Source organism: Homo sapiens, chromosome 8 (assembly GCF_000001405.40).
Source record: "Homo sapiens chromosome 8, GRCh38.p14 Primary Assembly".
NCBI classification, from domain to species: Eukaryota; Metazoa; Chordata; class Mammalia; order Primates; family Hominidae; genus Homo; species Homo sapiens.
In genome coordinates, this window is record NC_000008.11 from 90,284,629 (window position 1) to 90,307,573 (window position 22,945).

The window sequence follows — 22,945 nt, forward strand, 5'->3', positions numbered from 1 at the left end:
ACATTGTTAGTTGATCAAAGGAAATAGCATTTGGTAAGGAAAACAAAAGCAAGATGAATGAGGATGCCTTCAAGGAAGGTAGGGAAATGGCCTGAGCTTTTGAGAATATTTTCTTCAGCTCAAAGGCTGAACTTTCCACATTTTGTGTTTTTGCTTGAGAACACTGAAGGTTAAGTTCCTTTCCCTCTATCTTCACAGTCTTACTCTGTGACCTCAATTTTCCATCAGCTTCAGGGCTCCTAGGGAGCATCAATGTGTCACTTCCCAAGAAAGATAAATGTGAAGTAAATCCAAAATGCATCTGGGCATTTGAACCCCCAAACCTCTCGAACTTTTATTTGCCAGTGAAAAACTGTTTAAAGTTCAAGCTGGGAAAGAAGATACATTAAAACCTTTCTCTCTCTCTCAAGCATCCACAAATGCCTTGTCACTTATTCCCCCTTAGTCCTCCTGAAGTTTTAAGGCCCTATTCCTCACATTATGGGTGAAAAAAAGGCCATACTCATCGATTCACTGATTGGCATTCTGTGCTGAGAGCAGCAGGACAAAACCCTGGCATTTCAGTAACAATGGCTCAGATCTGCATGAGGCTTTTATCTAGTCCCTGGTGAAGCACGATAATTTCCCTCATCCCTTCATGGGTAGGAATTGGAGTGCACCAGCACTGGCCGGGGATGAACTCCACTCACTCACTCAAACCTGCTGTGCTCAACTCCTTGTGGGAGGGAGCATGCAGGTGAGTGGGTGCAGGACCCATGGTGAGTGCTTCTGGGAGCCAGCAGGAATGAACTCCATACCAGCCTGGCAGCAGCATCTAGAGGGTTGCCCATGACCCCTGAAGCCCCAGAAGGAGTGTTACAGTCAGTGCTCTTTTAGCGTTGCCATCAGTGGACAGCTTAAGTGTTAACAGTTCAGTGGAGGGTCAGTGTGACAGCCTTTTGCACCTGCACCAGAGTTCTTGTCTAGCATCCAGGAGGAATGAGGTCACACGAATGAATTGCAGATGGTAAACACAGGGGATTTTATTGCCAACGAAAGTCACTCTCCATGGGATGGGGAGCTGAAAAGGGGATGGAGTGGGAAGATATTCTTCCTCTGGAGTCTGACTGGGGACTACAGGTAATCTTCCCCTGGAGTCCATCCAAAGCTACACTCTCAAGCCAACCCTCTGAAGTCAAGCTGCTTCTGTCTGATGTCCAACCATAGTCTCCAACATCCAGCTGCTTCTCCTTTTCTCCTCTCTCTGCTAGTGGTGCCTGGGGTTTTTATGGGCACAGGATGGGGGCAGGGCAGGCCATAGGTGGTTTTGGAAAAGGCAACATTCGAGCAGGAAAATAGGGTTGTATATGCTCACTTTGGGCCATGGTTCCAGGCTTGAGGGTGGGGCCCTTACCAGGGACCTGGCCTCTTCTGCCCAGAGTTTCTCTGCCTCTTGTCCCTGTCACTGTCTAGGGTAGGAACCTTTGGCTGGAGGGTCACTTTCTATGCACCCCTCCAATCCCCTCTGTCAAATATCCCAGTGAGACCCTAGTGATTTCTGTAAGCCACTGGAGCTGCTTGGAAAATCCAGTGATCCTTCTGACCTACAAGGGAAAACTGGGTGGGCTGGGAGAGCTGCCAAAACTCATGTGATGCCGCTTGTCAAACTCTAGAGCCCACCCCAGGCTACTGTAGAGACACCTTGTGAAGAGTATCCTTCCAGCAACCCCAAAGCCTCCTCTGATTTGAACTCCTCCCTCCAACTCCACCCAGACATCTTTTCTCTCAAGGCTAGAACAGTGCAGCCATTGGTCTAAAATTTGCCTCCCTCCCTTTTTTCCTGGTGTAGGAATCAGGGTCAAGTGTCATTGGGAGGTAGAGATGGTAGAAGTGAGGTTCCTACCTGCCCTCTTGCTTTTATGGAACTTGCAGTCATTATACCATCCTCTTTCATGAGATGGCATCCATCTTCCCCATTACATTTGGCTAGAATGGCAGAACAGCTCAGGTGAGCTTAATTTATAGCAGAAAAAAAATTCACACTGGTTTAATAGTTTTCAACACCAGCCAATTTCTATGTGTGCACAGAGCTGTACATAAGAAACAGTGGCTATGGTGCTGAAATGCACTAAGCTATGTCATAGTAAAATTGATTCTGAAGGAATAAACAAAGATTCCCATTCCTAGAAGAATCTCTATAATATTATCAAGTTTACTTACTGCTTAAGAGAAAGAAACCCAGTATCTTAAAACATTGTCAAGATTCTGGGCAGTCTGATTCTGAAATCTCCCATCAATTTTGCCTTTCAATTAGCAGGTTTTGAACAATATCATGCCCTCGCCTATTGCTTTACTGATCTAATAACTCCTATGCATATTTCGCTGTTCTTTATATATTAAACAGTGATGTGAAACAATCATTTTTAGAATATATGTTTTCAGGTTTTGTTGTTTATCTATGGCTGGTCTCCTTAGAGCCTTTAATTTGTTACTATGCACCAGAAGCTTCCAACAAAGGACTACAGTGTCAAATACTATTTTAAAAACATGGCTGACTACATAGTCATTTTCTTTTTTGACAAGAATTAGAGGGAGGAAAACTAGGTCCCATAAGGAAGTATCAAAGTAATTAGTTTTTCACTTATTTATGTTGTTTTGCCTATTTTATTTTGCTTTTCAAAGGGAGGAAAAAGGTGAGAGATTACTTTTAATTTATAAATATTTTAATTAAAAAAATTAAAACAGCTTTCCTTGTCAGCAGCAACTAAAATAAGGACGAACAGACTTTAAAGAGTAGATGATTTCACTAAGAAATTATCTAGGTTTCCTGATCACCAAGAGGAAAATTGTATCATAATGGACCTCTTATGAAGATTATGGAGTTTGAGTCCCTAAAGATCTTCCAGATTTTCAGTAGGTTTGGACATTTACTTTGCCAAATGTAGGGTGTTATATCAGGTTGTGACTGGAATGACCTCATCTCTGCTCAGAACTTTGCAGTTGCTCCTTATCCTTCAGAGTTACTAGAGGAAACCTAGCACCCATCAGAATCAGTGAGGACTGCAGAAACATTATGATGATCTGACTGGGCTTTGGTGTGGGAATTCTCCCTTCTATTCAAGACCTTGATTCTTCAAAGAGGTCATTGAAGTTGAGCTAGACCTGAACATCTAGGAATTTGCTCAGTGATCTGCGGGCTAACCATCCTACAAATGGTACCCTGGGTGGTTTACATAGGAGGGTGACTGTAGCTCTTGACCTGGAGGTTTCAGGCTCTCTGAGATTTTGTCCTGGTTGCATTATGGAGATCATCCAATGCTGCACAATGCGCTTCAGTCACATGTTTTCCCAACAATGTGGGAAAACATTTTGATTGTCCTGCTACTTTGACATTGGGGAGTTCACCTTGCTGCACTGTCAACATATTTCACTTAGGGAAAGTTTTTAGGCTACAGAAAAGTTCATCTAGGAGTCTGAAGGGAAATAATGTTGGCTTACTCAGAAAGAGGGAATGTGGTGATAATGGTGCACAATATCTGGATTGCTGGCTTGGGAGTATGCTTCCAGAACATAGAGTAACTTTTTCACAGACACAAAATGACTCTCATGGCCTATTAAATTCAAGTAGTTTCTGAGATGCCTGAACGTTTAGTCTATTGACATATTCCAGTCTTGCTTTTCAGTTTTCAACTTTTCCTAGTTAAATGGGCTGAAGAAAATGGAACTTCCCTTTATCTTTTATCTTGTGATTATAGGAGATGGCAGCTCTAACCTAGCTCTTGCCTATGACCTCAGGATATGAATGAACTTTTCTGGAAAATGAAATGTATTTAAAATCAAAAGATGGAACATTTTTAAATGTGAATTTAAATAAAAAACAAAAATTACATTAAAATTATGTTATATTTGCTTAAATGAATGTTCTGAAAATATATTCCATTTACAATAGAATTGTAACAAGCAGACACTTTTATCTAGTTTTATATCATTTCTTAAACAGGTATGCAGTGTAGCTTAATTCTTGGATTTTGCAAGTTTGCTTCTGTATACTTAAAAATTTTTTTCCAGTGGCAGGATAAATGATTTAAAATAGCACTAAACGATAGTAATATCTTATTTGCTTATAGTGCTTTTTAGCTTTTAAAACATTTTTGTATAGTTTATTTATTTGATTACTCAACAGACATATTGAAATATTATTCTTAAGCTTCTCTTAATGCACAAAATTAAACAAAATGTATTATCTCATTGACCAAAGGCAATTGTTACCCCTAGAAAATAGAGAGCTTCTTGGCGCTTTACACAAGATAAAGATTAACTGCTAAATGATTGCAATCTTTTAGGTAACTATAACTCAATTTGCAATAATAATTAACTTTATTCATTCCTTGAATTCATGTAGCATACTTCCTGAGAAAAGCCTTAGGTTTGTAAGTTTATATTAACGTGTTTATTCACACAATGTTCTCCACCACACAGGTCAGGCAGATTTTACCACTTCCATTTTATGGATGGAAAAACAGTTCATGATAAGGTCAGATAAGATGCCCAGAGTTGATTGGTTGGCCAGGGTCACCCTAGTTAACCTAGCAGAGTAGGGACATGATCCTCTGACAGGTATCCCGTGCAGTCTGATACATCTCCCCATGGGCTTAGAACCACCCTCAGGGCTCTTCACCCAGGTATGTCCTCCCAGATTTTGCCCTGCCTTAGAACCACTCCCTCTCAGTCTATTCCTTCACCCTGGAGTCCACCATTGAAAGTCTGCTCATTTTAAGTGCTTTCCAGGCCGTTCTAGTCTCCAGTTTCAATCTCTGGAGCTAAGAGTTGTTAGTGGTTTTATGTCTGACACCACCATAAGGCTCACTTGCAGTTGCCCTCAGTAACCTCCAGGCCAGTGAGGAAAGGAGGCGTTGGAGGCACAAGGGGACTTTTAGAACTCCTGTTTCATAGCTGTCTTTGTGTTCAGATGTGACTGATTCCTATACCGGTCTTCCAGCTCTTGAATGATGCCACTTCTGTGTTATCATATACTCAGTTTATTGACAAGCATAATTTTTTTTTTAAAAAGTCTCTAAAAATGTGTAGCTTTCACCGTCAACCAGGGACTTGCTGAAAACCCCTTTATAGCATTTTATGACTGAGGTTTCCAAATTGACTTAGAGAGGCCTTTTCAATGGCAACATTTTTTTTTCATCCCAGAGGGTTTTATTTTTAGCTCACATATCTGGCTCATGAAGAAATATAAGTAAACGAACACTTTAGATACACTTTAATGCCCAGTAGCCTCAAGAGAGTCTCACAATTAAAAAGTTCAATTTCCTTTATTCATTAAATGTCAATAAGTACCAGAGAGACAGGCATGTTGTAATATTCATGCAAAACATCTCCCATTAATGGATTCAGATGTTAAAAATAGGTCATTTTAATAATTCTGACTTCTGATACACAGTCCAGAGTTCCATTTTCCTGTATTGAAATTTGTTCCATACTATGAGGGTTTGAATATTAAATGTTGCAGAATTGTATATATATTTAAACATTTAGAAAGCAACATCATAATCTAAAGAAAATACCCAACTTGTATTTTTAAGAGCTCTAAGTGTAAACTTATCAGATTATTAAAGCTGGCCGGGTGCTGTGGCTCACGCCTATGATCCCAGCACTTTGAAAGGCCGAGGTGGGCAGATCATCTGAGGTCAGGAGTTCGAGACCAACCTGGCCAACATGGAAAAACCCCATCTCTACTAAAAATAGATGATGGTGCATGCCTATAGTCCTAGCTACTTGGGAGGCCAAGACATGAGAATTGCTTGAACCCAGGAGGCGGAGGTTACAGTGAGCTGAGATCACGCCACTGCACTCCAGCCTGGGCGAGAGTAAGAGACTCAGTCTCAAAAACAAACAAACAAACAAACAAACAAGATTACTAAAGCCTACCTTTCCGAAGCATCCCACGCTTCAAGGAAGCTGCCTGTTTGCTCAGAAGAGGAGCATTTAAAGAGTATTTCTTATTAGACACATTTTGGTTCCCTGAAAGGGGGTCTGTTCATGGGTGCTAGTCACAGATTAATTTATGTCTGCACTGTGGATTCCAGACCTTTTCTCATCCTGCTCTGAAAATCAGCACTTGTTATTTTCCTTGATTGTTCTTTCCATCTCCTTTAATCATCTTCTTCTGCAAAACTCCATATCCTGTGCCAAGACTCACCTCAAATGTTATCTCATTTGTACAAACCTTTCCACCTTATCTAGGAAAACTGATGGTGTTATTTTATATTCCCCCGAATCTTGTCTGTATCTTGGTTATTATCATATTTTCCAATGCTTATTAAGAACTCATGACATGCCATGTAATTTACTGTTCGTCATATAGACTACCTTATTCAACTCTCACACATCCCCTGTAAGATAGATATTGTCTTATTATGTCACATGAAGCTAAAAACTTATCCAAGGTTTTACAGGTAGGAGGGAGCCAGGACTTGAACTTGGATGCTTTGACTCTAAGGCCACTGGAAAGCACCACACTCCGTGGGGAAATCGCAGATACTAACTTCTTTTATAGTAATTTTATGTGAGCTGATCCAGTCTCATGGCTTCAAATACTATCTTATTGTATGTTGATTATGCTGAAATTTACAACTTTTCTCTGAAAACCAGATTTGTATCATCACTGGGGTTTCCAGTAGATATCTCAAAATGAATGTGTCCAAAATAAAACTCCTGACCATCTTCCCCAAACTTGGCCCTTCCATAATCTTCCTCATCTTGGATGACAGCAACTACAGTCATTCACTTTCAAAGTCGTAAATGAGATCTTGTCATTACCAATAACTGCAATCCTCCATAATTTCAACTTCCTGCACCCCAGTGTCTCTGACCACATCTCCAACTTGTATAGTTCATTCCATGGTTTTCTCAACATAACAATCCTTCAGTCCAAAATTGATTAACCACTTTTGACTGTGCTCGTCCCTTTGCTGTGTTCCACTATTCCTTACAGGCTTAATTCTTCAAACACTTCTCATGTATATCCTTTCTTACACTTCTCTTGCTTTATCTCACTTGTTAAAACAACGACCCTGAATAATTCAACTGTCCACCATACCACCATGTTGACTCACTATACATTCATGAATGAACCCTAAGTGAGACTGAAGTTCTGATAGGTAACCATACACTCACATACTCTCCTAGATGACTTATTTCTCTCTCCTCATATTCCCAAAATTTCCTCTCCCAGCCCCATTCTCGGTTGGGAAACTTTGCTTCACTAAGAAAATTGAAACAATTAGAAAAGAACTTCTATAGACTTCCGTTGCCATCTCTGGCCAACTATCAGCATTTATACCAAGATCCTTTGCTTTCATGCCAGTTACATGAAATGGATTATCTATACTCCTCTAAAGCAAATATTTCCACTTGTGACCAGATCCTATCCTTCATGACCAATTAAGAGCATTGTTCCAGCAATTCTCCCTTTTCTCTCTTACATTAGCAATGTTTCACTGTCCACTGGATCAATCATCCACATTAACATATAAATGTTATGGCATTCTTCCCATCTTAAAAAATAAAAACGAAACATTGTATTTTGATTCCATTTCTATTCCTCAATACCACATTAATTTCTTGGCCCCATTTTGCAGCAAATTCCTCCAATTCAGATTGTATCTGATTCTTCTCTTCTCATTGCCTTTTAAACTCTTTCCCACTAGGTTTTCACCTCTACCATTCCACAAAAAATTTCTCTTGTCAAAGTCACAGATAAATCTAATGTTCAACTCTCAGTCTCCATATCACTACTCTCTCTATAACTGGCTCGATGATAGCACACCCTTATGGTTTTCCTCTTGCCTTCATCATTTCTTCTCTGTCTCTCTTGTGGCCAAATCCTCTCCTCTTCAACCTCATAGTGTTGAATATCCCAGGATGTTGCAGTTTAAGATTCCCTTTTCTTTTCTATATAAAATCATTCCCTTGATGATCTCATTTAGTCTCATGGATTTAAATTACCTCTATAAAAATGACTCTCAAATTAGTAATTACATCTCTAGTATCTCTTTCCACATACCCAGACTTACATAGCCAACTGCCTGCTAAACGTCTTCACTAGATGTTTAACAGGCATCTTAAACTTAGTATCTCAATGCGCAGCCTCCATCTCAGGTGATAACTTCATTCTTCCAACGTTCAGGCCAAAATTAAATCAACAAAAAACTTGCGAGTTATTTTTTTCTTATATCACATTTACCTTCAAAATAGATCCATAATCTAATTATTTCCCACTGACTCCACTGCTCACATTCTTGGCTGAGCCACTACTACTATCTAACTGCTTTTAATTGTTTACCTACAGTCTGAGTTCAATACAGCAACCAGAGTGATTCTATTGAATCCTAAACCAGATCATCTGAAACCTCTCTTAAAAACATAGCAATAGTCCCCATTTCAACCTCAGTGAAAACCAAAGCCCTTTCCATGGCCCACGTGGCCCTACATTATCCTGATCCACATCGCCTTTAATATCCATCTCCATATTCCCCCCATTCTCTTCGCTCCTTTCACACTGGCTTCCTAACTATTCCCTGAACACACCAAACATCCTCCTGCCTTGAGTCCTTTGCACCTGCTCTTCCCTCTGCTTGGAATACTCTTTCTCAAGATATCCACATGGATAATATTTCTGTACTTCAAGTTTTTGTTCATACATGAAGTGTTCTGTCTCCAACTTGCCTCCTTTAATCTATTCTTAATACAGAAGCCAGAGTGGACACCTTAAAATGCAGATCAAATCAAGTTGCATTTCTAATCAAACACTTGCAATGAACGACAGTTACCATTTCAGCTTCCAGAGCCCAGCCTTTTTCCCTCCTTGACACCATCTGCTTTGCTCCACTCCTTACTCTGTCCATCCACATTGGTCTCTCTGCTGTTTTTTGAAAATGAAGCCAGTTTCCTGTTTTAGAGACTTTGCATTTTCTTTGCCAGGAATGTCTGAATAAGGATTAAACCTATGGGAATTGAGCCCCAGAGTAAGCACATGAATGAAAAGGTATCAGGACATGAAGAGAAAGAGTATTAATAAATATAAACTTCCTTATTTTGTGTCATTCTTCTTTGTCTTCTACCTTCTCCTGTTTTTCCTTCTTCTTCTTCTGGTGGGGATTTTCTGATGTGTTTTAGAAAAGCAAAATTTTCTCAATTATCAGTTTATTTTTGCCAATGTATCCTGAACCTTTTCCCTAAACTTTTCCAGTAATAGTAGAGTCCTCCATCCTTCATGTGTCAGAAGCTATCATGGGGGTGAACTCTGGTTATTAAATTGAGCTGCCATTGGTGTATAAGTCATAGTTTCTCTTAAGTTACTCACCTTCCTTCTTAACTCTATTTGTGTTTTTGTGAGAGACACTTCCCTTCTCTCTATACCCCTCTCCTCCCTTTCCTCTAAGTCTAAATGTAACTGTTCCATAGAAAATAAAAAAAATTGAAAGATTAGAAGCATAATAATACAAAATTAAATTGTGAAGCTCTGTATACTGGATTAAAACATACATATTGATTTGTTATTTGTGATAAAAGAAAAATATACATATGCAGTGATTAAAATATACAATGCAGATCTTCTAAAAACTTTAATGAAGCTGAAATTGATGATAATGCCAGTTAAGACAATAGTGACTACGGAAGAAGACCCTCTCTAGTCAGTCAATTATGACTGGTGTCTAAAGTTTCATAAATCAGATGAAGAAATTCTTACAGCAACAATGAGCAAACTCAACCTTCCTCTTTTTTCTTCTACCTGTATGCAGCAGCCTTTTATTTTGTCTTCAAGCAGGAATTCTAAAGAGATGGTGGTGCATGGCTGGGAATGAAAACTAGGCCCGCATGTGCCTCCTTCAAGTACTACTTGTGCTTTCTGGGCTGCCTGTTCTCAGTTAGACTTTCAGCTGTACAGCTGAGAAAGAGAAAAAAGTACAAAGCACAATTAAGAATTGAGGCTTTACCTTCAACATTTCAAAAAGAAGGCAATGAAGACCCTTGGTGTTAAAAATTGATCTATTTCTATTGGAAAAAGAGGACTTTTTTTTTCCTATTCAGTTTATGCAATGAGAGGCTCAACTTTGGGCTAAGAGACTAATTTCATATTTGCTATAATTAACCACTAACACAGATGTAAATTAAAGATTTTCCTGATTTTTTGAACAATTGGCTGTAAGAAACATTGAAAAGAATCATAGTCTATCTACAGATCTCCTCAGTCAAGTTCATTCTCTAGAGCTGGCAGTTAAAAATAGTGCACACATGATCAGGAATGATTTAATCCATATAAAGCTATGTTTATTGATTTTTAAAAAAAAATTTATTGGTAAGAGGCTACTGGAAATACTGTGTTTCATCTAAATTAAACTCACAGTTAAATTAAAGTCACAATTAAAAAAGAAAAGAACCACCAGCGTACCTGTCAATAAAGAGCTACTGTATTAACAGTGTTGAAAAAAAAGTGTTTTCAGACAGTCTAGTGAAAGTAAGAATGCCAGAGGTTATCATAGCTGTCAGTTTTAAAGTCAATCTCCAGCTCCTGCTAGGAGGAAATTTCCCCCAGTGCAAGATTAGGGTTGTTTTTATTGGCTCCCATCTACTGTGTCTTAGGGATGTGTTAGGCACCAGGGAAAATGGGGAGAGATGGTCTGTCCAGTGTACTCATACTTGAAATCTACAATTGAGTCATCAAGGAAAAGTAACTGACAAAAGAGAGAAAGGTAGTTGATGATGAGGGGTGAGAGATTTTGCAATTTGTAGTTGGTGTCTGTCTTCATTCACTGGCTCCCTGAACAGGGTGGATGGTGTTTTAAGGCTATCTTTTTCTCTTCACACTTACTGGACTGTTGGAGGGCATCTTGGATTATCACATTGCTTTACCTACTTTCATATTCTCCTATAAAAAGTCATTTCTAAGAGAATGTGATTTATTTTCTTCCTTCAAACTTCAGGACTTCATGGCTGAACTTCTTTTCTTCCCAGGAGGATATAAATCTGGACAGAAAAATTTGAAATTTGTGAATTACATAAAGTCAAGATTGAATTTAAGTTCTCCTTAACACTTAAGTTTGGGCAAGTTCTTAACTTCTGGAATTAAGTTCCTCATTTAAAAATTTAGTGGATATTATCTTTCTTATAGGATGTTATAATTAAATAAACTACACAAAAGATTGACATATTATATATATTTAATACATGTTGGTTCCTCCAAGAAACTAAAAGCATGTCACATATCTAAATCTGTCACAATGAGTTCATAAAGACTTTCTAGAGGTTTTTGGAGGAGGAGTTCTGTATTTAGGCAGAGGGGGTGGTTACCTGTAGGATTATTTAATAAGCTTTCAGAATGTTCCCATATTGAACAAGGTTTTCATGGTTCTAAAGTTCTTACGCTTAAGATCATTTCCTTGGATTAAAATATTGTAAATATTAAAGGTAAGGGTTAAGAATGCAAAATGTTAAGTGAAAAGGAAACGTAACTGTGGAGCTTATGAAACAGATAACTTCAAGTTTTCTTGGGGAAGGAAGCAGGTATGAAATATGGTCCAGGGCCAGTCAATTTGAGAGATGTTCTTTTCACTGCAGATGTAAAAAGTGTCTATGTGTGTGGGGTATCTGTTAGAACTCTTCAGGCCACCACACTGTAGCAGAGAGAGAGAGAATCGATACCCATCCATTCATACACACATGCAATGTTTACTGAGCATCGGCTATGAGGCAGCTCTGGGAGAACCAAATCAACACCTTCCCTGCCCAAATGAAGCTTACAGTTATTTAAAATTAATCAAATGATCAAGCAAGCATAAAATTATACTACAAATGGAGAAGTGATGGAGTTACAACTGGATGTTACCACCAACAGCCATTTCAGTTCTGAAAGAGGTGATAAAAGGAGTCAAAAACACCTCCATAAGTTCTAGGGAAAATGTTTTTGGCCCTGCCCTGGGAAGGTGGACATCCATGTCATCTCTGACATAAAAGAAAATAATTATTACCCACATACAGCTGACACCCATGTGTTAACCCTTGAAAGTGTTTCGAAATGGAACTTTTAAAGTGTCAGAATAACTCATTGAACTCCAGATCTCTTGATGTCTAGATATTTCCACCTTATTTATATTTTAAAAGATCCCCAAAGCAGGCTGAGACCAGAAGAGGGAATCTCTCTCAGTTGGCAGATTAGAGAAGAAATCTGTACCGTGGTATGTGTGTTAGACTTGTTTGTATTAGTCCATTCTCATGCTGCTATGAAGAAATATCCAAGACAGGGTAATTTATAAAGAAATGAGGTTTAATTGACTCACAGATCTGCATGGCTGGGGAGGCCTCAGGAAACTTACAATCATGGTGGAAGGCACCTCTTCACAGGGCAGCAGGAGAGAAAATGAGTGCCAGCAGGGAAGATGCCAGACACTTATAAAACCAACAGATCTCGTGAGAACTCACTCACTATCACGAGAATAGCCTGAGGGTAACAGCCCCCATGATTCGATTACCTCCCACCAGGTCCCTCCCAGGACATGTGGGGATTATGGAAACTACAACTCAAGATGAGATCTGGGTGGGGACACAGCCAATGCAGATCACTGTTCTTCCTTGGATGTGCCATATATCAAGAGAGGAAAGCCAGCTACGAAATGACTCCCCTTAATTACACATAAGGATTGAACTATATTTGCTGTCTTGTCACTATGCAGAGTCTTCATAAGGCTCTACTTTTGTTAGGATGAATATGCTTGTTAGATACCATTCTGAGGACAGTTTTTGACAGCAGCAGAAGAGAATTGTAAAAGGCCATGTAGTGAAGAGATCCCATATCTTCAAAAAGGAGAAATGCCTTGAATATCCTAATGTGCTTTGGTGTCACATCATTTACTCAAAGCACTGAGCAAGTTTCTTTGGTTCTCAGTAGTCACCTGCAGAAATGTTCACAAAACAACTTCTCCACTGGAGTTCCCCACTGCAGGCAGTGGCACAATGGCCCTTCAAGTGGCCCAAGACAGCAACCTGGGCATCTTCCCTCGTTTCTCATTATTCCTTAGTTTGCCCCACAATAATCACTGCACCCAATCCATCACTCTGTTTTGTTGATTCTGCCTCCTATTTCCCAAGAACGTTCATTTATCTACCATTACCTTCACTATGACCTCTCAATTAGGCTAGTGGATTTCTAGTTTCTCCCAACTCCATTTTATTATGTGCTTTGTACCCAAAGAGATCCCTAAAGATCTAATTTTATTACATTCTTACTTAAAACATTTTAGTATCTAACTCCCTGGCATGACATACAAGGCCCTTTAGGATCTAGCCCCTGAGGACCTCTTCAGTGCCATATCTAACTCCTGACCCCTTGCCCCATTCCTCCTGCCCCAGCCCCACTGAACTGGGTGCAGACCACAAAGGCTCCAGCTTTTCTGTCACCTTTGGGTGTTTACACAAGCCACACCGTCTATCTAGAATGCGGTTCTCCCTTCTCCTGTTTCTCTCCCACTTGTCCTTTGGGTCTAGTTTAGATATTGACCCCTATGCAGAGCCTCACCTGACCCTGGAGACTGGATCAGATGCCCTACAATGTACACCACAAAAATGTGCTGCCATTTCAGTTTTCGCACTATATTTTAGTTGCTTATTTACTCGACAGTCCCTCTTTGCTAGAGATGTAAATTTATTGAGAGCAAAGATGACTCAGATGTACTCTATTGTATCCAAAGCACCCAGGGACATTGTAGGACCTCAGTCAATGTTTGTTGTGTAGATGAATTTGCATTCCCACTAGATGCAAGCCTAGGGCATTACTTCCCCCTGCAGCCTCCAGGAGAGGGAGAAGAAACACAGGCTCAGAGGACTTTCCAGCCTTGGGATTCCAGGAGTTTATGAGGACACTGATGGCCTTAAGCAAAGGAAGAATATCATTGAATTCAGAAAAAGGGAGAAAGCAGAATTGGCAAGATACAAAGAAGAAAATTCTGTTCACTTCTCATTTTGCCTCAAACCAACTTTTCATGTAATTTAAGTTCACTTTCTTTTATGCTGTTGACACTTTATGCTGACTTAGTGGGGTACAAGTATCACTAATCCCCGTCTCAGATCTTTAATAAATTCTTTTTAAAAACTGCATCTTGGCTATCCTCACCTGTCCACAGTTTCAATCTGAAATTCTCTGACAGAAGGAGGAAACGGAAATAATTTTTGAATTCACCCAGGATAAGACCATGTTCATGTCTCCCAAGATAACTTTCACTCTTAAAGATTATATAATATTTCTGTCCATTCAGTTAATAAGATTTGCTTTGCTATTTAATGTGTAAGAGACAACCCCATAAATATAGATGAATATTAGATTTCTAGGTATTATTTGGTAATGTTTTATTGTATTAAGAATTATTTACATATACATCTGGAAGATGATTGCTTGTTTATTTCCCATAATTGTGATGTCTTTTTAAAGGACTATTCAGTTAAGGGATCTATATTTCTCTCGATTTTGATGGTGGTGGTGTTTAAGTGCATGATTTGTACACCTTAAAAGTAGAGACATAAAAGCTCAATACTTAGAAAGGAATTTGAAATTCACGGAAACACTGTGGAAACTCAGGCCTGTGTGTTTCTGACTTCATTAGGTAAATCTTTGGGAAAATTTGAACAAAAAGTAAGTCAAAAAATAATGGTTGTAAGTTTCATCACCATTTTTAGCAAAAAAAAAAAAAAAAAAAAAAAGTCAGATGTGGTTTTTCTCAGAACTGCCCTTAATGAAAGAAGTCTGTAAAGTATAGTTCAGTTACTGACCAGAGGAAGCTTTTGTATGAAAGATTTCAAGAGCAAGATCCCTCTTGAAATCTCTCATATAAAACTGCATTTTTGTGGAGAAGCACCAGAAGATTAGAATACGTGTCAAAAATGAGAATGAAATGTAGGATTTAGGACCTCTTTGTTGTTATTTGAACTCTTCTCATAGAAACAACTCCACATCAGCTGACATCAAGGACATGAAACTCTCAAAGATGGCACCTCTGATTTGTACACATATAAATCCCAGGAAACTCAGGCTATATTCTGACAGACAAGAAGTGCAGGTTACAGTAAGAAAGGCTGGAGGTATTAGAGCCTGCTGTGAGCCTGCTTACTCTGGGTTTGAATCTTAACCCCACCATTTACAATTCTGTGACTCTGGACTCATCTTTTTGCTTTTGGAGCCTTAGACTCTTGGTAAAATGAGTCCCCAGATACCAGCCTCAAAGGATTGTGATGAGGGTTAAACAGGGCTGGCTACATAATTTTCGGGGCCCAACATAAAATAAAAATATAGAATCTTTTGTTCTATATTTAGTGATGTATAGACACTAATCAAGAAAAAAGTGCTATGGAAGGTACTAAAAGTAAAAAAGATTTTCCTTTCTTCCTTGATCTCTCTCTACACTGGTTGCAGTGTTTTTATTTGCTATGTTGTGCTCTCCCACAGGGAGAGCCACCCCTCCTGCAGAACTCCCCTTCCATGGGCCTCCTGTTCCAACTGAAGATAGACTGGCAACTGCCAAAGGATTGTGACCAGGTTGCCAAGATGTGCTCAGTACCTGGGGCAAGCAAAGGCTCAGGAGTCATCCAGTGAATGGGCCCATAGCACTTTCAGTCTGGCACTCCAAGCACCACAAGTGGGGGAGTGTAAGGCGAGAACCTATCCCAGGGAGGGAGGAAGTTGGCCAGAGGAGGGACCCATGCGACCTGAGGCTCCAAGGCTCTCATGCTCCATTTTTCCATAGACTTCACTTACAAAATATTAAGTTCAGAAATAAAATTATTAAGCATTTCAAGAAGGCTGCTGTAGAGGATTAAACCCTGAGCCCAGGGCTCTTTCAGTACAGGGGACTATGGGACTGCACTGGTTGCACATCCATGAATCCCACCTTGGGAATAAATAACAATGTTCTAAACCCCCTGGTGCACAGGAAACCCCACAGTTATACATGATGGCTATGGGGCAATTCAGGTCGAGATGACACATGGTATTTTTAATTAAATATTTTGCAGAGGTAAATATACATTTTAAAAATAAAAATGTTTTAAGAGTCATCTTCATCCAAGACCCTTCAGTGATAGTGCAGCCTTCTGAGTGAAATCTTAGCTAAGAGACAGCATGAAATACAAGCACTCATTGGCCAGTGTGCACAGCAGGAAAAGCATCCCCCAGTAAGGTTTTAGGACTCTAAGTGTGCAGGTGGCACCTGTAATGGTAGAACTGTGCTCAAATAACAATTTTTACATATCAGTCAGCATAATGGCAGAGTAAAAAGTGCTTGATTTTGGTGTTGGAATAAGAATGAGCCATAATTGGAAGTTTAATTGAGGGGAGGGAGAGGCATGTGGGGCTGGGTTATAAAGTCTATCTAGGGTTTATGGAGACTGTAAAGAAGTGATTCGCGTGAATGCTTAAGCATCTTATCAAAACTTCTGTAGAGACAGGGACACTCGTCTAGTGAAATCGCCATTCATACAAATCTGCTTTAGCAGGGTGAAGGGTACAGATTAACAGCTGACTCTGGAATAATACATATATGTTCAGAACCGTCAGAGGGACAGCGATCAATGTCAAAGCTGATGAAGCTCTTGGGTACTATTTGGATTACTACAAAGCCTCCCACTGCAGGCAGGCTGACCTTTTTCAAACATATATATCATGATGTCACTATACTGTTTGAAATATATTGGCTTCCAGTTGCCTGAGAATAGCCTAAACCCTTACATTGCTGACAAAGCCCTTCACAATTCGGGTTTGTCTACTTCCTCACTCTGCTCCACACTCTTATTCCTCCACTGAATTCCTCTCACCTCTTGACTCCTGCTTCTTTTCTCAGAAACATTCCATCTTCCACCATCCTCTCCTTTTTCAATAAAGTCTTGTAAGCCCATTAGTCCATAACCTAAACATCAAATCTTCAGGGATGAAGGTCTTCCCTTATATGAGGTAGAGTGTATGCTTCCATTTGGCTCCAACAGCACCCTGTAAGGCTATCAGAGTAGTTTTGATATTGTTTCATATTTGCTACAGGATAGCAGGTATCATATCCATCATGACCATCTTCGTATCTTGACACATGAATGTATGACACATAGTAGGCACTCAACAACTATGAGTAGACTAAAGAAGTGATAAATGCACTTTTCCTATAGCCTAAGGAGTATAAAGAAGCTCAGTGTCTATACATCACTAAAGCAGATTATCTACATGTTTACACTGTGTTGGGGTAAAGTATTAGTGAAATACGTGATGCAGATGTAGAGACAGTCCTTTCCTAGAGCTGGGCTGCCACTCAGGCTATAGATGTTGGACCATTCTAGGTGTCAGATGTTGGGATTAGAGTCACAGGTGTGTTTAAAAAGATCTGCATAAGTCGAACTCCAAATAAACAGTATGTCATACAAAGCATGAGTCAAAAGCCAGAGCAAGAGATAGCTTTGGATGTGCTTGATATGTTTCTTGAAGCAGTGTCTTTTTTCGTGTCTCTTCAAGCTTGTGACAATTTGAGGGGTCTGCCCAGGTCTCCTGAGACAAATATTTTGGGAGATGATTATCGATGTGGCTTTCACATTGACACGCCTAACTGGAATGTCATACCTGCGGAGGAATATTGATAAAAGATTGAAGAGGTTAGGTTGTCTCTGATTAGGCTAAGAGTTTCAACTGATATGACTGGCTCTCAAAGGCTTTATAGGGCCTGGAACAAGGCAGTAATGAGATGAAAGTTTTCTCACAGTGTCAGACAGTTTTAACTCTTAGCGTCTGTGTAAAGAATCAACAGTAGGGGTGACATGGAAAACTGCTATGATGAGATGAGACTATGTATCAGCATCCAGGACTGTGCACATTCCACTTCAGAAACCCTGGTACATGTTTGAAGAGATATGCACTCACATTATATCACTGCCTATTTGGAGAAGTTCTGGATACCTTCATCAAAGTTCCATTACAAAGAAATGCTATTGAGTTTCTATGTAAAGACTGCTGATAGACAGCTCATATAATAATCTGATGTTTTTTCCTTTATTCATTCAATAAATATTTGGTGATCACTCACATGTGCCAGACCCAGTTCTTAATACTAGAGATTTAGCTGTGAACAAGAGATACATTTATGTACTGTCTAGAACAGCATTGGCCAATGGAATTCTGCAATGATGGAAATGTTGTTATCTGTACTAATACAATAGCCAGTAGCCACATGCGGTTATTGCACATTTGAAATGTGTCTGGTATGACTGAGAACCTAAATTCAAAATCTCTCTTATTCAAAACCCTGTACTCTACTTGATGTCCAACAGAGGCCACCTTTCTCACACCTCATCCATTGCATTGTCAGTGCAAAATCTTACAAAAATATTTGTAGTTTCCTATAAAACTTGACTTTATTTCTCTTCTGTGTTTTTGTTTGTTAAGTTCCCTTGGCCTAGAATAAGCAAATGCCTACCACTACCCCCACCACAAGACCCTACCTGACCACTTCTATTCCCAGTAGGAGCCACAGCCTTCATGAAGCCTTGCCCACATGCCTCAGTCAGTTCCCATAGATCCCCATGCATCTCTTCATCATAACACTTACCACATATTACAAATAGTCACTTTTATACTTTAGAGGTAGTGGAGCATGACGGGTATGAGTACAAGCTCCAAGGCCAGATTCCCTAGGTTCAGGCACACAAGGATTTACTATAAGCAATATATTTTCGAATTTTATAAATACTAATTATCAAAGGCATGCATAATTGCCAATTACAACATTAACTCTAGACAAAAAATATAGAAATATAACACATTTAATATCCATGATCGCCTCATCAAGCATGAGTGAGTTTTCAGTGAGAACTTTTGAATTATTGGTTATAATTGATTAAGAACCCCATCACTGCTCTTGGGGAAACTGAGCTAATGTAAAGGAAAAAAAGGGTCATCAGTTAAATTTGCATTTATTCTAAACTTGTGTGCTAAACTTGTGTGCTAACAATTTCTAGCTGCAGATAAGTTCAGAGGAAACATTCAAAAAATAAGTAACACAAACAAAGGCATTCATGAGTAAATCAACCAACCAGACAATTTACTCTAGGGAGGGTACATGAGTAGCTTTTTCCTTGTTCATTGTAGACCAAATGGAACTCTTGATGCTGTCAGAAATTTGTCAAGATGCACACTCAGATAGCTCTTGAAAGGATGGAAAGTAAATGTTGTTCTCTATCATTTTTGCCATAAAGGTATGGCATTTAAGTTATAGGGTCTGAAGATAAGACGGACTGTGAGAGTCCATTATAATCCAGCTCCCTTCTGCTGCAGTTACAATGCCATTTCCATTACTGCACACAGATAAGAAGAGCTCTTATTTCAAAAGATTTCCAAGCACAGAAATACAGTCCTCTGATACCCTCCCCATTGAAATATGGTCTTTCCTACTCAATTTAAACCAATCTTTTTTTTTTTTTTTTTTTTGGCTGGAAATTGTTAAACCCATTAACTTTCATTCTATCTTGCGGGGAGACAGGGAAACACTTCCATCTTCTGAAAAATAACTCTCCACATTGCTAAGCATGTTATAAACTGCCTAATACCAAGAAGACAGGTTTGGGACATGAGCAGGAGTTTCTGATGCTTTTTCAATGTGCTCGTTGATACACTGATTGACTGGGCATTAGTTTTCCAATCTGTAAAATGTGTACACTAAGACTTTTCACTTGCTTTTCTCATTGGTGTTTTGTGAAAAAATCATTCTCTCTGGGACGTCGTGCTGTATCAGCCAGCTACATTTTTCATCAAAGAATGCTAGGAAATTTGGCTAAACTCTTTTGGGCTTCCAAATGCCTTTTAGGTTGAGGAGAGCCATACTACAAATCTTAAACTTATGAGTTATTTGAATCTCTATTGGTGGAGACCTAAGAAAATTTTCTCACATGTACTAAGAAGCTGTAACTTGATAGAGAACAAAGAAAAAAAACTCCAGAATGGGAGCTACTCTGAAAGTTCTGAGATGAAAGGACTTAGTTTCTCCTACTAAGCTGATAGGTTATTCTATTGTCAGAGTATGGGAGTTAAGCTGGCGGTCCTCATTTTGATCCAGAAGCTGAGAGCTGAGGTATAGATTTCCTGAGTTAGAAAATTGTAACATAGCTCTTCTGCTTCTGTCTCCTTTTATTTGTGACATTTGGTCTTTTACTTTGTATTTTGGATTTAATTGTACTAGTGCTGTTATTGGAGTAGTCTCACAATGTACTTTGTAAATAACTGGAGTCTAGGTACATAAATATGAAATATGTAACTCCTACTCAAACTTATTCCATTTCACTTTTGCTAAACTTCACTTGTTTATTTTGAAGACACGTGAAGCACACATATTTTATTGTTTGTGTAATTACCAAATACAGGAAAAGTTCTTCACTCTTTAACCTGAGTTTTTCAGGCTATGTCTTCAAATCACACCTCCATATTGCCACTACCGTTTCAGCTTTGCTGTCATAATTTCATGGTTTAAACACTTAGATATTTTATTATTTTATCTCAACCTTTTGTGAAGAGTCAAGGAAATTATCATGAAAATGACAAACAAGCCTCAGAATAGGAGAAAATGTTTACAAATTGTATATCTAATAAGGGACTTGTATCTAGAGTATACAAATAACATTTATAACTCAATAATAAAAAGACAACCTAATTAAAAATAGGCAAATGATGTAGATATTTCCCTAAAGAAGACATACAAATGTCTGATAAGCATATAAAAAAGTACACAGCATCATTAGACATCAGGGAAATGCAAATCAAAACCATGCGATGCAACTTCACATCCACTTGTATGGCAATAATAAAAAAGACAAACAATAAGTGATGTCTGGAATGTAGAGAATTCCTCATAGATTGCTGGTGGAAAATTAAATGGAGCAGTCAAATAGTCTGGCAGTTCCTCAAGCAATTGAACATAGACTTACCATATGACCCAGAAATTCCACTCCTAAGAGAAATAAAAACATGTCCACACAAAAATGGTGCACATGAGATATTCATAGCAGCATTATTCATAGTAGCCAAAAGCTTGGATAATCCAAGTGTTCATCAACTGATAAATGGTTGAGTAAAATGTGGTATATAATGCAAAGAAATAGTATTCAGTGATAAAAAGGAATGAAATATATACTACAACCTGGATGAACTCAGAAAAGTTTATGCTAAGTGGAAAATTCCAGTAACAAAAGATCACATATTGGATGGTCCCATATAGCTGAAATGTCCAGAATAGGCAAATACATAGAAACAGAAAGTAGATTAGTGATTGCTTAGGGCTTGTGGAGGAAACTGGGGAGAAATGGAGGGTAACTGCTAAAGGGTAGAGGATTTCTTTTTGGAGTGATGAAATGTTCTTAAATGGACTGTGGTGATGGTTGCATAACTCTGTGAGTATACTAGAAACCACTGATTTGTACATGCTTCATGGATGAATGGTATGGCGTGTGAATTACATCTTGATAGAATAGTACTAAGTAAAGTAACTATAGAGCCCAGACAAGGGTGAGGAAAGAATATGGGATGATTGTAGTTAAATAAGAGATAATAAAGACCATAGAAATGGTGATGAAGGGTCAGATGAAAGAAAGACTTAAAAAGCAAAATAAGCAGTAAGCAATTGAAATTAAAAGATAAGGAAGCAGGAAAAGTTGAGGATGAGTTTGATTTTCTATTTTTAGTTGGTGATACCATCTCTGGACTCCAGCTTGAGTTGTTGAAAAAAAAATCCTTATTTTCAATTAACAGTTTCCTTTCCCAAGTCTTCTCCATGTAATGTAAATTGCATTCCACTGAATTTAGCCTAAAAAACAAAAATTGGAAGTTTTCTCCTGGGATAAATATGCATTAGAGAGGTTGACATTAAAAAATTATGGTGACATATTCCATAGGAATATCAAAATGGTAAAATTGTTGAACAATCTCTCCCACAGCATCACCCAAATACAACTATTGTATTTATGATGTGATTTGAAATTTCATTCACATATTTTTCCTTCACTCATTTGTACAGTAGATGCCTGTGGGGAAAAGTTTCTGATCATAGATTTTCTTGAGAATCCAAAGAAATGAACAATTTTAAATTATTGGATGGCTGAAATGTAAACGATACCTCTGAGCAACAGAAACCCACTAGGTTTATGAAGCAACCTCTTGACATAAACTATCACTGATGGATTTATATTAGTGATTGCTCATACTTGAGCTCAATGTCATTTAGTAGACCTTTCATTCTTATGCCATTCATTTGAAGCCCTGTTACCCTTTCTCCTTCATATAAACGAGGAACAAGAAATCCTACTGAAATTTGCCCTCTGTAATCACTAGTCTGAAGTAATGAGAACTTTTATTAATTTTACCTTTTAATATATATTCACTGATGGGAAACTTCTCATCAATGAATATACATTAAAATCTTCAATGACAAGATTTTTAAAAATCATATGGAGTAACAGTTACTCTGCCATGACGTTGGCATCCCTCAATTGGCAGATGCCATCTTGCAGCCCAGCCAGAATGGAGAAAAAGGTTAATGCATACAGGGCATCCCCACTCTGTGACTGAAATCCAGGGACACCCAAATGTTTCAAGGGTGAAGACCTCAGATCTGAGGTTGTTTCCAGTAGTTAAGAAAGTCCTTGTCAAATACATACTTGTTCATTTTTCCTAATTTTTCTCATGAGTTTCTTTAAAACAAAAAACATAAAGGTGCTTAGAATAGAGAATTCAATAACTGATTGAGGCAATCTTTTTTTAAAAAATCTATAGTTAGTTGAGTTGTTGAATGATCACATGACACTACAAGTGGGAGTTCAAATTTATTTTTGTGTTCTTGTAATAGTGATGTCCACATCTCTTTGCCTCCAGCTCTGTGTACCACATCTGACC

The 22,945-nt window shown here is 38.6% G+C and overlaps 2 long non-coding RNA genes across 2 annotated transcripts in view; one reads left to right on the top strand and one right to left on the bottom strand.

Moving 5' to 3' along the window:
• Positions 1–22,945, top strand: part of LINC00534 (long intergenic non-protein coding RNA 534) — a 166,472-nt gene that overhangs the window by 63,141 nt on the left and 80,386 nt on the right. The gene's annotated exons all lie outside the window — the stretch shown is intronic.
• The window catches only part of LOC124901975 (uncharacterized), a 267,232-nt gene continuing 254,767 nt past the window's right edge, over positions 10,481–22,945 (bottom strand). Inside the window, exon 8 of the long non-coding RNA XR_007061002.1 lies at positions 10,481–11,019. This is a non-coding gene — a long non-coding RNA (uncharacterized LOC124901975). The remainder of the gene's footprint in view (positions 11,020–22,945) is intronic.